This window comes from Homo sapiens, chromosome 11 (assembly GCF_000001405.40).
Source record: "Homo sapiens chromosome 11, GRCh38.p14 Primary Assembly".
Classification (NCBI taxonomy): domain Eukaryota; kingdom Metazoa; phylum Chordata; class Mammalia; order Primates; family Hominidae; genus Homo; species Homo sapiens.
In genome coordinates, this window is record NC_000011.10 from 68,916,143 (window position 1) to 68,933,176 (window position 17,034).

General features: G+C 47.6%; 1 protein-coding gene across 7 annotated transcripts in view, besides 2 other annotated features; it reads left to right on the forward strand.

Moving 5' to 3' along the window:
- The window catches only part of IGHMBP2 (immunoglobulin mu DNA binding protein 2), a 36,711-nt gene that overhangs the window by 12,252 nt on the left and 7,425 nt on the right, over positions 1–17,034 (forward strand). For 4 of the 7 annotated variants that reach the window (NM_002180.3, XM_047426881.1, XM_017017671.3 and 1 more), the window contains 2 exons: positions 1,594–1,741; positions 13,041–13,215. In NM_002180.3, the coding sequence (NP_002171.2) occupies positions 1,594–1,741; positions 13,041–13,215 (323 nt within the window). Of the gene's footprint in view, positions 1–1,593; positions 1,742–13,039; positions 16,982–17,034 lie in introns of those variants that run through there. The other 3 variants (XM_005273976.3, XM_005273975.4, XM_011544994.2) reach the window with 3 other exon arrangements.
- Positions 11,033–11,152: an enhancer, noted in NCBI's record as "active region_5147". NCBI's record gives its function as "activates an Ori minimal core promoter by ATAC-STARR-seq in GM12878 lymphoblastoid cells {active_cell/tissue: GM12878}" and the evidence as "EXISTENCE:reporter gene assay evidence [ECO:0000049][PMID:35858748]".
- Positions 11,573–11,622: an enhancer, noted in NCBI's record as "active region_5148". NCBI's record gives its function as "activates an Ori minimal core promoter by ATAC-STARR-seq in GM12878 lymphoblastoid cells {active_cell/tissue: GM12878}" and the evidence as "EXISTENCE:reporter gene assay evidence [ECO:0000049][PMID:35858748]".

The following is a 17,034-nucleotide window of genomic DNA, read 5'->3' on the forward strand; positions in this document are numbered from 1 at the left end:
CAGCCTCGGTGACAAAGCAAGACTCCGTCTCAAAAAAAAAACCAAACATTTTCCTGGGTGTCTTTCTGTCTGGTCCTGTTGTCTTGCTAGTAGTGGCAATGGGAGAAAAGTAGCCTGAACATAAACATTGAAAAAATTGGCATCCTCCTAGAGCTTTCCGTCCATTCCACCTTCTCCTTGTGAAAGAGGACACCAGTCGGCTGGAGAAGTAGGGTGGTGGTAGGTTTCTTCCATTTGAGAGGGCCTTTTCCCCCCAGCCCGACACTCCGACACTTTTGAGCTCTTTGGTTCTCCCGTGGACGCTTTGTTGTAGTGTCTGTGCTCACGTCCTGTCCTGTGTGCTCACTGTCGGTACTGGTACTCCTTGGTGTCTTAGTCTCAGAGGAGTGATGGCAGCAGGGAGGGTGCTGGAGCCAGTCTTTGCTCTAATGTCTGTGCTCACATCTTGTCCTGTGTGCTTACGGTCAGCACCTGCACCCTCGGTGTCCTAACCTCGGAGGAGTGGCGGCAGCAGAGAGGGTGCTGGGAGCCAGTCTTTGCTATGGGCCCGTGGCATCGAGGCTGCTTGCGTGGCTGCTTGCATGGCAGCGTGGGGATGGGCCGCCTGCTGGGAGGGGGAGGAAGGATAGATGCATGTCATGCAGGTTCGAGGTGGTGGAGGAATATGCATGATGTTTGCTCATCACAAATGTGGGTGATTTCATTTCCTGTTGAAATTGGTGCTTTTGAGGATTTTCTTTCTCTGTAAATTATACACAGTAAAATACCTCCTGTCACCCCTGCTAAAACTCCATCCCCCAAAGTAGAAATCACAAATAAGGAAAGGTTACATCTTTTTTTTTTTTTTTTTTTTTTTTTTAAAGAATCTTGCTCTGTCGCCCAGGCTGGAGTGCAGTGGTGCAATCTCGGCTCACTGCAACCTCCGCCTCCTGGGTTCAAGCAATTCTCCTGCCTCAGCCTCCCGAGTAGCTGGGATTACAGGCACACACCATGCCCAGCTAATTTTTTGTATTTTTAGTAGAGACAGCGTTTCACTGTGTTGGCCAGGCTGGTCTCGATTTCCTGAGCTCGTGATCTGCCTGCCTCGGGCTCCCAAAGTGCTGGGATTACAGGCATGAGCCACCGCGCCTGACCAGTTCCATCTTTTTGAGATATTAAAGTAAGTTGAGGTTTTGATTATGGGTTGAAAAAATTTTTTTTAATCTCTTGAAAAATGTAGAATAATATGTGAAGCTCAGTCTCTCTATTCGTAAGCTCCTACAACCCAAATCCTGGGGCGGGCAAGCGCTTTTTCTTCCCCAAGATCAAATGCCTGTGTGCAGGGCAGGGCTGGTCCAATTTCTGGTCTCCTCTGAGTTAAAAACGTGGTCTCTTTCCAGGACTTAAAATGTCTCTTCCTGTGACTTCAAGGCAAGTGAGGATGTAAGGTGCTTAGTTGCGTGTGTGTATCTGTGTCTCTTTCAAGGAAGATTTCTGAGTGTTTTTTACGGAGTTTATTGAACTGGACTGAATGATAGAAGCACTTCATAAATAGAGTTGAAGAAGTACAAAGTTGGACTGAAGTAAGTGTATCTCCTTTGTTTTTCTTTATAGGTGAAAAACAAAAAGACCCAGGATAAGAGAGAGAAAAGTAATTTTCGAAATGAAATTAAGCTGTTAAGAAAAGAACTGAAGGAGAGGGAAGAAGCAGCTATGCTCGAGAGCCTCACTTCGGCAAACGTGGTCCTTGCAACAAACACAGGTGAGGGGGCGTCTCCATCCTGCCTGTGTGGCCTCGAAGAAGGAGTTGGGGTGTGTTCCCTCTTCTGTTTTCTGGAAGAGTTTGTTTAGAATTGGTATTTCTTTCTTAAAAGTTGGGTAGGGTTCACTAGGGAAGGCCTCCGTACCTGCAGTTTTCTTCATGGAGAGGTTTTGAACTACAAATTCAACTTCTTCAATAGATAAAGGGCTGTTCAGGTTGTTTTTCTTCCATGAGCTTGTAGCTTTCAAGAAGTTTGTCCATTTTATCTAAACGGTTGAATTTAGAGGCATGAAGTGGTTCCTAATATGCCCTTATTCTTCTTTTACTGTCTGCAGGATCTGTCATGATATAACCTGTATTATTCCTGATACTGGTTTGTGTGCTCTTTTTTTTCCTGCTCTTCTGGCTGGAGGGTTTTTTTTTTTAAATTTAGATTTTATATATACATACATATATATTTTAAGAGACAGGGTCTCTGCCAGGCGCAGTGGCTCACACCTGTAATCCCAGCATTTTGGGATGCCAATGCGGGTGGATCACCTGAGGTCAGGAGTTTGAGACCTGCCTAGCCAACATGGTGAAACCCCATCTCTACTAAAAATACAAAAATTAGCCAGGAGTTGTGGTATGCACCTGTAATTCCAGCTACTTGGGAGGCTGAGGTAGGAGAATTGCTTGAATCCTGGAGGTGGAGGTTGCAGTGAACCAAGATCGCGCCACTGCACTCCAGCCTGGGTGACAGAGCAAGACTCCGCCTCAAAAAAATAAAAACCCCAAAACCAAAAAAACAAAGCAAAACAAAAAAAGAGACAGGGTCTCACTATGTTGCCCAGGCTGGTCTCAAACTCCTGGGCTCAAGGGATCCCCCTGCCTCAGCCTCCTAAAGTGCTAGGATTACAGGTGGACCCACCGCGCCCGGCCTGGCTGCAGGTTTCAATTGATCTTCCCAAAGAACCAGCTTTTGCTTTTTCTCTATTGTTTTTCTGTTTCATGTATTTCCACATTGATCTTTATCGTTTTCTGTTTTCTTGGGCTTGTTCTTTTTCTTGCTTCTTAATGTAGAAGCTGAGATCATTGATTTGAGACCTTTCTTTTTTTCTGATACGAGCATTTAGCTCCATAAATGTCTCCCTAAGTACTGCTTTTGTGGCATCCCACAAATTCTGATCTGTTATATTTCATTCATTTCAAAATGCTATCTCATTTGCCTTTTGGTTTTTTAGAAGTGTTATATAGTTTCTAGATAGTTGGGAAATGTCCAGATATCTTTCTGTTGTTGATCTCTCCTCTCCTCTCCCCTCCCCTCCCCGTCCCCGTCCCCGTCCTGTGTGGGATCTCACTGTGTTGCTCCTCTCCTCTCCTCTCCTCTCTTCTTCTCTCCTCTCCTCATCCCTGTCCCCATCCCCATCCCCGTCGCCTTCCCTATCCCCATCCCCATATGGGATCTCACTATGTTGCCCAGGCTGGACTCAAACTCCTGGGCTCAGGTGATTCTCCCAGCTCAGCCTCCTGAGGAGCTGGGGCTCCCTGCATGTGCCACTGCACCTGGCTTACTTTCTGTTATTGGTTTCTAATTTAGTTCCATGTGGTCAGAGGACATACTCTCATGACTTGGATAGTTCATCGAGACTTACTTTATGGTCCAGAATCTGGTCTCTGTCTTTGTGAGTGTTCCATGCACACTTGATAGAACGTGTGTTCTGATTTTATTGAGTGTTCTGTAAGTAGTCAGATCATGATGGTTGATGATGTGGTTCAAGTCTGCTGTATTGAGAGAGGGACGTTGAAATCTCTGAATATAACTGGACATGTCTGTTTTTCCTGCAGTTCTATTGGTTTTTGCTTCATATCTTTGGAAACTCTTTTACTGGGGTCATAAATGTGGGGCTATGTTTTCTTGATTAATTAACAAATTTATCATTATGAAATGACCTTCTTTATCCCTGATAATATTCTTTTTTTGAAATCTACTTTGTCTGACATTAAAATAATCATTTCAGCATTTCAGCTTGCTTTTCTTTTCATTATGGTCAAAAACCTGTAAAATTTACCATCGTAACCCTTTTTAAGTCTGTAGTACAGTAGCATTAATTGTATGCATGTTGTTGTACAGCAGATCTCTAGAACATTTTCATCTTGCAGACCTGAAGCTCTGGATCTGTTGAACAGCAATTCCCTTTTTCCCTGTCCCAGATCCTGGCAGTCACCATTCTCCTGTCTGTTTCTAAGAATTTTATTATTTTACATACCTCAAGTAAGTGGAACCATGCAGGATTTGTCGTCTTGTGACTGGCTTGTTTTATTTAGTGTAATGCCCTCATGGTTCATCCATGTTGTCCAGCTTTCTTTTTATTTTTAAGAGACAGGGTCCCAATCTGTCACCTAGGCTGGAGTACAGTGGTGCGGTCAAAGCTGTACTCCAGCCTTAACCATGAATGTGGGACCTCCAGCAATCCTCCCACATTGACCTCCTGAGTTGCTGGGATTAACAGGCGTGAGCCATTGCACCCAGCCCCCACCTTTCTTTCAACTAGTGTTAGTGTGATCTATCTTTATCCTTTTTCTTAGAACCTATTTGTGTCTTTATGTTTAAAGTGATCTTTTAAAAAATATTTGAGACACGGTCTCACTGTGTTACCCCTAACTGGAGTTGCAGTGGTGCAATCATGGCTCCCTGCAGCCTCAACCTCCTGGGCTGAAGTGATTCTCCCACCTCAGCCTCCTGAGTAGCTGGGACAACAGACACGTGCTATCACACCCTGCTCATTTTTTTGATTTTTAATAGAGACAAGATCTCACTGTGTTGCCCAGGCTGGTCTGGAGTTCCTGGACTCAAGTAGTCCTTCCACCTCTGCCTCCCACAGTGCTAGGATTACAAGTGTAAGCCACTGTGCCTGGCCTGTTTATTTCTTTTTAAAGAGAGAGTCTTGCTCTGTTGCTCAGACTGGAGTGCAGAGGCGTGATCATAACTTGCTGTAGCCTTGCATTCTTTGGCTCAAGTAATCCTCCCACCTCAGCTTCCCGAGTAGCTAGTACTGTAGGCATGAGCCATTACACCTGGCTAATTTTAAAAATGTTCTTTTCTTTTTTCCTTTTAGAGATGGGGTCTTGCAATGTTGCCCAGGCTGGTCTCAAACTCCTGGCCTCAAGTGATCCTCCCACTTTGGCCTAAAGTGAATTTTTTTGTAGATAGCATATAGCTGGGCCTTGCTTTATTATCCAGTTTGACAGTTTCTGCCGTTTGTTCTTTGTTATATTTTCCTCCTCTTCTGCTTTCTTTTAATTAATTAATTGAACATTTCTTTTTTTTTTTACATAAGTTCTCACTATGCCCCATGATTGAAGATTTCTTAGGAATTTATTTTTATTTATTTATTTATTTTTAAAAGATAATTTATAGAGACAAGGTCTTGCTGTTTTGCCCAGGCTGGTCTCGAACTCCTGGACTCAGGGGATCCTCCCACCTTGGCCACCTTGGTGCTGGGATTATAGGCATGAACCATCACTCCTGGCCTATTTTTGTTTTTGTTGGCTTGTTAGCTATATATCTGTATTTGATTCTTTCAGTGGTTACTTTAGGCCTTACAGTATGTGTCTTCAACTCATCATAGTCTGTTCATATGCCACCTCACATATAGCATAAGGGCTTTATGATTGCAAGCTGACATTTCTCTCCTCTTAGCATTTATGCTTTTGTCATATATTTTTCTTATACGCATATTCTAAGACTTACAATGCTTGTTCTTGTTTTAATGGTGAATTATCTTTAAAGAGATCTAAATAATAAGAAAAATGTCTTCGTATTTGCCCGTGTAGTTACCACTTTTGGCGCTTTGTTTTCTTTTGGTTTAGGTCGTGTATTTCCACGTGGCATCATTTTCCTTCCACCTGAAAGGCATCCATGATCATTTCTTGTAGTGTGGGTCAGCCGGTGATGCAGTCCAGTAGCTTTTGTATGTCTGAAAATATCTTGTTTCACCTGCAGTTTTGAAAGATATTTTTGCTGCGTGAGAATTCTAGATTAACACTTTTCCTTGCAATATTTTAAAGATGTTGTCCACTGTCATCTGCCTGAGTATTTCTGAAGAGAAATTGGTCATCCTTATCCTTGTTCCTTTGTATGTAACGTGTCTTTTTTCTTCTGTCTGCATTTAAGATTTTTTCAGCCAGGTGTGGTGGCTCATGCCTGTAATCTCAGCACTTTGGGAGGCTTAAGGCGAGTGGATCACCTGAGGTCAGGAGTCCGAGACCAGCCTGGCCCACATGTACTAAAAATACAAAAAAATTAGCAGGGTGTGGTGGTGGGCACCTGTAATCCCAGATGCTCAGGAGGCTGAGGCAGGAGACTCGCTTGAACCCGGAGGCGGAGATTGCAGTGAGCTGAGATTGCACCACTGTACTCCAACCTGGACGACAGAGCCAGACTCCGTCTCAAAAAAAAAAAGAAAGAAAATGATGCTTTCTTTATCACTGGTTTTAAGCAATTTGACTATGATTTGCCCTGGTGCTATTTGCTTCATGTTTTTTTTTGAGACAGAGTCTCACTCTGTCACCCAGACTGGAGTGCCGTGGCGCAATCTTGGCTCACTGCAACCTCTGCCTCCTGGGTTCAAGCGATTCTTCTGTCTCAGCCTCTGGAATAGCTGGGAGTACAGATGCACACCACCACGCCTGGCTAATTTTTGTATTTTTAGTAGAGACGGGGTTTCACCACATTGGCCAGGCTGCTCTCGAACTCCTGACCTCGTGATCCGCCTGCCTTGGCCTCCCAGAGTGGTGGGATTACAGGTGTGAGCCACCGCACCCGGCCTCATGTTTTTTAACATTGTGGTGAGAACACAACATGAGATCTACCCTCTTAAATGTTTAAGTGTACTATATAATATTGTTAACTATAGACGTCGTGTTGTGCAGCAGATCTATAGAATTTATCTTGCACAGCTGAACCTTTATACTTGCTTATTGCTGAGTTCACTAATTTCCTTCTTTCATGCCTAATCTCACATCTGTCCCATCCAGTGTAACTTTCATCTGACATCCAGAAATAAGAGTCTTTTTATATCTTTGATGTTCTTATTTAATTTTTTTAACATTTGGAATACAACTATAATAACTGTTTTGAATATTCTAGACTATTATTTCTCTATCACCTGTGTCATTTTTGGTCTCTTTCGATGAACTGTTCCCCTTGAGTGGTTGTGTTTTCCTACCTTTTTGTAGGCCTGCTAATGTTTGTTTGGATACCGGACATTGAGGATTTTACGTTGTTGCATGCTGAATATTGAATATTTTTGTATTCCTATAATCTTTTTTTTTGTTTTTTTGTTTTGTTTTTTTGAGACAGCGTCTTGCTCTGTCACCCATGCTGGAGTGCAGTGGTGCGATCTTGGCTCACTGCAACCTCTGCCTCCTGGATTCAAGTGATTCTTTTGACTCAGTCTCCCGAGTAGCTGGGACTACAGGCATGCGCTACCATGCCCGGCTAATTTTTGTATTTTTAGTAGAGGCGAGGTTTCACCATGTTGGCCAGGCTGGTCTCAAACTCCTGACCTCAAGTGATCTGCCTGCCTCGGCCTCCCAGAGTGCTGGGATTGGTGTGAGCCACCACGCCCAGTCTCCTATAATATTCTTGTGCTTGGTTTTGGGAAGCAGTAAAGTTACTTGTAAACAGTTTAATCCTTTTGAGTCTTGCTTTTGAGATGTGTTAGGGTCTGGATCAGTGCTTAGTCCAGGGTTAATATTCCCCTGTACTGAGGTAAGACCCTTTGAGCTTTCTACCCAATGCACCCTGTATCATGAGATTTTTGAGTTTGACTGGTGGGATTAGGTGCTGTTCCCGGCCTTGTGTGAGCACTGGGCACTTTTCTCTCATTGTTTTGGATGGTATTTTTCCCAGGCCTGGAGTAGTTTTCTCCTAAGCATGTGCTAATCACAATACCCAAGGGAATCTCGCAGCAGATCTCTGGGGTTTTTTCTCTCTGTGTAGCAGTCTCTTTGGCATTTTGTCCTGGAAACTCTGCCTGCATTGGTCGCCACAGATTCTCAGCCTTGTCTCCTCAACTCAGGGAGCCTTCTAGGTTCTACCTGGCTGCCCCTTCTCTGTACTCTCTCCTGGAAACTCTCAAGGCAGAAAGCTGGGGTAACCCCAGGGCTCACCTCCTTTGTCTCTCGTTATTCAGGGGTTACTTTTCTTTGTTACCTGTTGTCTAGTGTCCTGAAGAGTGTGGTTTCAGTTATTTTAAAAAAATTTTAAATAACTGGCTGGGGGGGTTGTTATTTGAGATGGGAGAGTAAATGCAGTCCCTGCTATTCCATCTTGGGCAGAGGTGGAGGACGCACATTCTCTCTTGTAGCCAGGAGAGAGCACTCCCGTTACAGAGCTGTGTACCTTGTGACTGTTGTGGGAATCTTGTCAACCACTCTTTTGGGGTTTAGGAATGTGTTTGTGAGACCTCTGGTTTGTTCCTGTGTGATAATAGTACCACAAAGGTAGCAGCTGAAAACAACCCACGTTTATTATTCTACAGTTTATCTGGGCGGAGAGCCCAGGCCCGGCTGAACAAGGTGCTGTGCTCAGGATCTCACAAGGCTGCGATCGAGGTGTCAGTGGGGGCTGCAGTCTCATCTGAAACTTGCCTGGAAAGGATCTTTCTTCAGGCTCACGTGGTTGTTGGCAGCATTCAGTTCCCTGTGGGTTCTTGCTGGGTGTTGGCTGGAGGCCGCTCTTAGCTGTTTGCCCTTAGGCCTTGCCAACATGGCTGCTTGCTTCCTAAAAGCCAGCAAGAGACATAGTCTCCTAGCACAATGGGTTATCGTCTTATGTAATGTTATCAAGGGTGTCACATCTCATCACCTTTCCCCTGTTCTGTGGATTAGAAGCAAGTCTCAGGCCCCACCCACATTTGAGGGGAAGGGATTATGCAAGATGTGAATACCAGTGGCCAGGATCCTGGGGCATACCTTAAAGCAAGTTTGTCTAACTAAAGGCCTGCAGGCCACATGTAGCCCAGGATACTTTGAATGTGGCCCAACACAAATTTATAAACTTTCTTAAAACATTATGAGATTTTTGTCTCTGTGTTTTTTTTTTAAGCTCATCAGCTATTGTCAATGTTAGCATATTTTATGTGTGGCCCAAGACAATTCTTCTTCTTTTAATATGGCCCTGGGAAGCCAAAAGATTGCACATCCCTGCCTTAGAGTCTGTTTGCCACAACCTCTCAGCTGGTGGGCTGCTCTAAGGAACAGAGTCCAGGTTCTTTTTTTTTTTTTTTTTTTTTGAGACAGCATCTCACTCTGTTGCCCAGGCTGTAGTGCAGTGGCACAATCTTGATTCACTGCAGCCTCCTCCTCCCGGGTTCAAGTGATTCTTGTGCCTCAGCCTCCTGAGTAGCTGGGATTGCAGGCGCATGCCACCAGGCCCAGCTAATTTTTTTTGTATATTTTGTAGAGACTGGATTTCACCATGTTGGCCAGGCTGGTCTCGAACTTCTGACCTCAAATGATGTGCCCACCTTGGCCTCCCAAAGTGCTAGGATTACAGGAGTGAGCCACCACACCTGGCTAGATTCTAATTGGCTTTGTAGTTATTGCTTTATCCAGTTGTGTTTTAAATCAGACAGGAGAAAAAAAGGGTCACAAGCAGAAAATACATTTATGGGGTCTTTTATATCTACCCATGTAGTTGCCTTTATTTCTTCATGTAGATTTGAGTTACTCTCTCCAAAGGACTCCCTTTGGTATTTCTTGAAGGGCAGGTTTGCTGTGACAGATTCTCTAAGCTCATCTTTATCTGGGCATGTCTTAGTTTCTCCTTCATTTTTTGAAGGATAGTCTTGCTGGGTATAGAATTCTTGGTTGACAGTCTTTCAGCCCTTTGGACGTGTCATTCCATTGCCTGCATACTTTCTGATGGGAAAGCAGCTATTGATCTCATTGAGGGCTCCTTATATGTGACAAGTTGCTACTCTATTGCTGCTTTCAAGTGTCGTCTTTTGTCTTTTGAGTGTGTGATTATCATGTGTTAGGTGTGGATCTCTGTGAGTAAATTACATGGAGTTTGTGGACCTTCTTGGATGTTTAGATTCGTGTTTTTCATCAAATTTGGGGAGTTTTCAGCCATTATTTTTTCAGGTATTCTTTCTGCCCTTATTCTACTCTCGTCTCCATCTACAACTCCCATTATGAATCAGTTGATTCACTTGATAATGCCCCACAGATCTCTGAAGCTCTGTTCATTTTCCTCCATTTTTTTCTTTCTGATCTTCAGGCTGGATCTTCTCAATGGACCTCTCTTCAAGTTTGCTGATCATTCTCTCCTGTTGAATCCTTCTAGTGAATTTCAGTTATTGTACTTTTCAACTCCAGAATTTCTGTGTGGTGCTTTTTTTTTTTTTTTTTTTTTTTTAGATGGAGTCTCGCTCTATCGCCAGACTGGAGTGCAGTGGTGTGATCTCGGCCCACCGCGACCTCTGCCTCCCAGGTTCAAGCAATTCTCCTGCCTCAGCCTCCCGAGTAGCTGGGTCTACAGGCGTCTGCCACCACGCCCAGCTAATTTTTGTATTTTTAGTAGAGACTGGGTTTTACCATGTTAGCCAGGATGGTCTCTATCTCTTGACCTCATGATCTGCCTGCCTCAGCCTCCCAAAGTGCTGGGATTACAGGCATGAACCACCATGCCAGCCTCTGTGTGGTACTTTTTAAAAAATTATTCCTGTCTCTTTATTGATATTCTCTTATTTGGTGAGACATTATTCTCATATTTTATTTCTTTAGACTTGTTTCCCTTTTGCTGTTTGAACATACTTAGAATCGCTGATATTTCAAGTCTTTGTCTAGTAAGATCAGCATCTGGGCTTTCTCTAGTATCCAGTTTATTTATTTATTTATTTAATTTTTTGGAGATGGAGTCTCACTCTGTTGCTCAGGCTGGAGTGCCGTAGCGTGATCTCGGCCTGCTGCAACCTCCGTCTCCTAGGTTCAAGCGATTCTCCTGCCTTAGCCTCCTGAGTAGCTGGGATTACAGGCGTCCACCACCACGCCTGGCTGATTTTTGTATTTTTAGTAGAGATGGGGTCACCATGTTGGCCAGGCAGGTGTCGAACTCCTGACTCAGGTGATCTACCAACCTTGGCCTCCCAAAGTGTTGGGATTACAGGCGTAAGCCACTGCTCCTGGCCTCAAGTATCTGTTGATTGCCTTTTTTCCCCTGAATATTGGCCATATTTTCCTGACTCTCTACGTGCCTTGTAGTTTTTTGTTGAAAATGGATGATTTTAAATAATAGAATGTAGCAACTCTGGAAGTCAGGTTCTCTTCCCACCCCGGGGTTTGTTGTTGTTGCCACTTGTTGTTTGTTTAGTGACTTTTCTGGACTAATTCTGTAAAATCTGTATTTTTTGTCTTGCGTGGCCACTAAAGTCTAATACAACTTAGTGGCCAGCTAGTGATTAGACAGAAATCCCCCTGAACTCCTGGAGCCATAAATGCCCCAGTCTTTGCTGAGTGGCTCTGTGTGTGTGCTTGGGCACACCTCCAACACAGAGCCAGGCTGTTTGTGACTCTCAGCTTTCACTTCCCGTTTGTGCAGTGCGTTGAGCTGAGCCACAGATGAGAGCTGAGGGCCTCCCGAGGTCTTTCCTGAGCCCTGTACATGTGTGTGGCCTTCTAGATTCCCAGGAATATGTTGGAGCTTTTCAAAGCCCCCTGAGGATATCTCATTCCCCAGCTTAAAACTTTGGTTATCCTATCATTTGCTCCGACCATTATTCTCTGTCTTAGAAAACTGTGATGTTCAACAATTACCTCTGATTGTTTTTGACAGACACCACCAGGGAAAAGGCTGTTTGTATTACATGAGCTCAGATAAAGTCTTTTGAGTGTGGTCTACCAGAGGATTCCCAGACAGATGAGATAAGCACAGTTTCTGGAGTGGGGCTTTTCAGGAATGCCAACCCTGTTCTGCACCCCCCGGGGCTGGCAGGTGCTGGTTTTCACCCTGACTTCAGGCTGAGGGTTTCAAGGCTGCCATAGGGATGGCTGGGAATAGGGCAGGTTTCAGTGCCACCGAGCTCCCGTGCTGACGGGGATTCAGATGCTTTTCTGGAATGAACACTTCCCTGATTGCTGCAGCCTTTGGCGAGTTTCCAGAGTTCTGAGAAAGTTGATTCTGACCATTTGCCGATGTCTTGTTGCTTTCGTGGAGGAGAGAATTCTCAGAGCTTGTGAGAGTCTCTTTGCTGACATCCTTCTCTGGCTTCAAGGACAGCACTTGCTGGAAATCAGGAGGCATCCCCTGAGCCCCACAAGGTCAGCTTGTGGCCTTTGTGGCCTTTCTGTTCCCTGCTGGTTGTTGGGGAACTAGAGTGAGTTCCTGGAAGTGCTTCTCCATCATGAAGTCTGGTTTCTCTCTGTACTGTGAAGTCACATCTGTGACCTAAACATGTCTCTTAATTATCCAAAGCCCAGCCAAGTTCTGTCTCCTCTGTGGGTGCTTTTTCTAGCCATCTCTGAAGAGTCAATCTTGAGAAATTTCTCAGTATGTCTTCATCATGGCATTATGTACATATCATTAGCATAATTCACTCAGATGGAAGGCAGAAAGGGTGGGAACTAACATTGATCACATTTATGGAAACCTGCCTTCTCGTGCTGGGCACTTTATATATGTTATCTCCCTTTGTGGTGCAATCTCATGACATGCAGTCATTGTCCATGTTTGTGGGTGAGGAAACAGGCTTAGGGGTGGGAGGCTCGCCTGAGGCCCCACACTGTTGGCTGGAGACAGCGTGGGGCCTGAGTCTTGCTCACAGCCTGAACGCTGCACTCTGCTGCTCCGCGTCCCAGGAAGGAAAAGCTGCTGCAGTGGGTTTGTGTTGCCAAATACATGGAGGCTTTTTTCTGGGTGAGTGCCCAGCAGTTGATTGTTCTGTATGTCCAAGAAAGTCACCTTAGAAAAGAATTAGGTTCTAAATTTAGAAAATAATTGAGTTACAATATTTAGAACTCAGACAGCATCCCTTGGGCTTGGGGTCACAGCCCCGAAGGGGTGATTAATTTTGCCAATTGAAGATCAGAGGGGCCTGTGGCCAGAGTACCCACTGCTTAAGACACAGGTGAGCTGGAACCATGAGTTTTAAAATGTCTTGGCCAAGTTTTTATTACAAGATACAAATTTATCCCACACAGTTGCAATGCAAGCCTTGATGAAACCCCAGCTTGATGGTGTCTCCTCTGGTGTGGCTGCGCTGTTGGGAAGCAGCTGTGCCCCTGGAGACTCCCGGCTCCCTGTTTCCACCAGGTGCGTCTGCCGATGGCCCCCTGAAGTTGCTGCCCGAGAGCTACTTCGACGTGGTGGTCATTGACGAGTGTGCCCAGGCCCTCGAGGCGAGCTGCTGGATCCCCCTGCTGAAGGCCAGAAAGTGCATCCTGGCGGGCGATCACAAGCAGCTGCCCCCCACCACAGTCTCTCACAAGTAAGACCCCTTTGCCTCACATGCCCTTCTCTGCCCCCGCCCTCCTGCGGTCCTTCCACGCTCAGCCAGGAGCCCCAGGCTCACCAGGAGCCCCTGCGGTGCCTCCTCGGTTTCTCGGCACAGCTCCTACCCCGTCTTACAGCATTCATTCATCTCAACGTCGCATCTGTGAGATCATGTACTCCCCGAGGGTGGGGTCGCATCACCTTCATCTTTGTAGCTTCAGAACTGGACACAGGGCCTGGCACGTTTCTGGTGTTCCGTCCCTGCTTGTTGAGTTGAATATCCCCTCATGAACCAGGCAGGTTTGATGGTAGAGTGCCGTGAGAGCCTTGGGCTGGGCTAACTGGCCTCTGGGTGGATGTGGGTTCTTTAGTCTTCAATCTGTAGACACATCCCTGGATGGAGGGCACTGGGCAGAGACTCAGCAAACCATGGTTCTGCCGTGCGGAGACACCGGAGCCCTGATGCAGTGGCCTGGCCCAGGCTGTCCTGGTGGAGACACTGGAGTCCTGATGCGGTGGCCTGGCCCAGGCTGTCCTGGTGGAGACACTGGAGCCCTGATGCAGTGGCCTGGCCCAGGCTGTCTTGGTGGAGAAAGTGCTGCCCGCCCCCCCAGCCCCCCTCTCACCTCTCCCCATACTACCCAGCACTCACTGCTTCAGCCACACAGGCCTCGCTGGCCCCTCTGCCTGGACCACTCCTGCCTGGGTGTGGCGGGCGTGCCCTCTCTCCAGATGAACCCTCTGCATGGTATCCCTTGACTGCCCTTACACGAGGCCTGTGAACAGGGCCTGGCACGTGGGCTGTCCTTGGACAAGTCCCTGTTCAGAAAGTTGTCCCTGAGGAATGAAACACTTCTGAGACTCCTGCATCCTGGCCCTCACTTCCACCGGGGGAAGATTGATTTCTTCAGATTTCGGTTGCCTTTTGAAACACTTCTCTGTTTCACTGTGGGTGTGTAGAAGCTATGAACTCGGAACTTTCGTTGTTTTCCGAGGACCGGAAGAAGATGTGCAAGAAATCCTGTCGAGTAGAATCTCATCACAGGGGCGTGGGCAGCCCAGGAGTTGGCGGGTATGTAGAGAGAGGTGTCAAAAATAGTAATTGAGAGTGAGCTTTGGGAGGAAGATGTTGGAAATAAAGATGGTGGAAGAAAGAGGAGTGCTGAGGAAAGGTGCTCTGAAAGATCGTCCTGGTGGGAGACACATGGGGATCTAGAGTGGAAATGTTACGGGATCTCTGGGGTGTTGATTTTTCTGGCTGGAAACCTCTGCGGCCGCAGCACCTTTGCCTCAGTTCTTGTCCTGCATCCAGGAAGAATGAGGTACGCAGATTAGTGAAGGGTGAAGAACAGTTTTATTTAGTGTTAGAACAGCTCAGAGTAGTGGGTAGCTCCTCTCTGTAGGCAGGTCATCCGTCGAGTGTTCAGCTGTCAGCAGAGGAGGCCCTGGAGAGGGTGGCTCCTCTCTGCAGGCAAGTCACTTGGACATCTCTGCAGGTCTCTGAAGCTCTCAGCAGAGAGCATAGATCCTCTCTGCCCTCTCCGTCCTCTGGCTGTCCTCTCGCCTTCTCTGACTGAGCCCAGGGCTTTTATGGACCTCAAGAGGGAAGGAAGGATGTGCCAATTGGTCCATGGGTGGCCATGGGCGGGCCTGGAATAGGTACCATGAGTCCTCACTCTGGTCCACAGGACTGGCAGCCCAGCTGCCAGCCTTCAGGCCCTTCCTGGCCTTCCACTGTCCCCTTCCACTCAGGACTCTGTCTGCCTCCCGCTGCCATTCATGGCCCTGGGGCTTGGCTCCAATCCCACTCTGAGATCCGAGTGGGTGCTGGGAGCTGAGAGAGGCCAGGCAGTGGAAGCAGACACCCATGACCCTGCAGGGATGGTGTGGGGGTTGTCCTTCCTGGGGCGCCTGAGGGTGCAGGCTGCAGAGTGGGAGGGCAGCTACAGCTGCACCCAAGAGCTCCCGACCCACCACCTCAGAAGAGGCCAGGCTCCTGCTTGTTCCCGGCTCCTGCCTGCTTCGTGGAGCAGGAAGCCCAGGTCTGCAGCCACAGATCTGGCGGCTGCAGCTGCACGCGGAAAGGCAGATCCTACCTGTTCCCGGCTCCCCTAAGAGCACCGGGAGACGCAGATCCACAGCTGCAGTTTGGGCGGCTGTAGCCCCGCCCTTCTGGAGCAGGAGGCCTGGGTCTGTAGCTGTGACCCTGTGTCTGGGCTGCAGCGGCCACTCTACCTCAGAAGGGGCGGGGCTCCCACTGGCTTCATGGAGTGTGCAGCCACAGCCAGGGTTCCCTGCTGCAGCCGGCATGATGGCAGCAGCCACTGCCATCAGAACCTCCCTGGGAGCAGGGAGGACAGGCGTGGGAGGACGCTTATTCAGTGGCTTCTTCCAGGGAGAGGTTCTCGAGATGTCCTTAAAGGAGGTCTTCATCCTCTGGAAAGCCTTTGGGTGGAGGAAGTTTGGAACTGTGCCCTTGAGCAGGGACCCTGTTGTGTAGGAGGGAGTAGGATGGTTTCGGGGGAAGACGTTGGGTGGCGTTCCCTGCAGAGAGTAGGATGGTTTTGGGGGAAGACGTTGGGTGGCGTTCCCTGGAGAGAGTAGGATGGTTTTGGGGGAAGACGTTGGGTGGTGTTCCCTGGAGAGAGTAGGATGGTTTCGGGGAAAACATTGGGTGGCATTCCCTGGAGACAGTAGGATGGTTTCGGGGAAAACATTGGGTGGCGTTCCCTGGAGAGAGTAGGATGGTTTCGGGGGAAGACGTTGGGTGGCATTCCCTGGAGAGAGTAGAATGGTTTCGGGGGAAGACGTTGGGTGGCGTTCCCTGCAGAGAGTAGGATGGTTTTTGGGGGAGGACGTTGGGTGACGTTGCGCTGAGTGTTTTGGGTTTGCAGTTGGTACTGATCATCGCGTCCTGTCCTCATTTTGTTGGAATTAAAAATACGTTAATCACAGAGGTCTGGTAAGTTTCCAGAGGGAAGGTCTCTGAAGTGGAGCTGGGTACTGCCCCAGGGTTTTGGTGGGGTTGGTGAGCCGTAGTGGTGCAGAGGGTGGGCTCTGGCACCAGGTGGCCCGGGCAGGTCCTGGCTCTGCAGCTCACCCGGGCAGCTGTGGGCTGGCAGCCTCCTCTGTCTCACCCTTCTTACATGTAATATGGGAGTCATAACAGTAGCCACCTCATGAGGTTGTTATAAGGATGAAGGGAGTTAATCCACATCTGGCACACCCAGCAGTGCCTGGCGCCTGGGCAGTGCTCAGCCGCTGCAGCCGTTCTTGGTGGGAGTGGACTTGACTGCTCACAGTTGGAGCATGTTGGAGTGTGTTCGTTCCCTGTTATGGCTGTGACAAATGACCACAAGCTTAGTGGCTGACAACAACAGATTTTCTGACCTCCAGAAACGACAATCTGGGGGTCAGATGTCCAAAATCAGACTCACCGGCTTAAAATCAAGGTGTGGGTGGGGTTGCTTCTTCTGGAGGATCCAGGGGAAAACCCATCTCCTGGTCTTTTCCGGCTCCTAGAGGCCACTGCTTGACTTGTTGCCCTTTCCTCTGTCTATGAAGCCAGCCGTGTTACGTCTTCAAATCTCTCCCCTCGGTGACCTTCTCTGACTGACCCTCGCATGCCCCCTTATAAGACCCTTGGGTTATCACCTGGGTCATCCAGGGTCGCCTCCCCATCCCAGGATCCTTAACTTCATCTCAGCTGCAGCGTCCCTGTTGTCCTGTAAGGGAACATTCACGGGCCTTGGCGATTGGATGTAGGTGCCTTTGGGGCTGTGATTCAGCCAAACCCGCCCCTTGGTTACTTCTG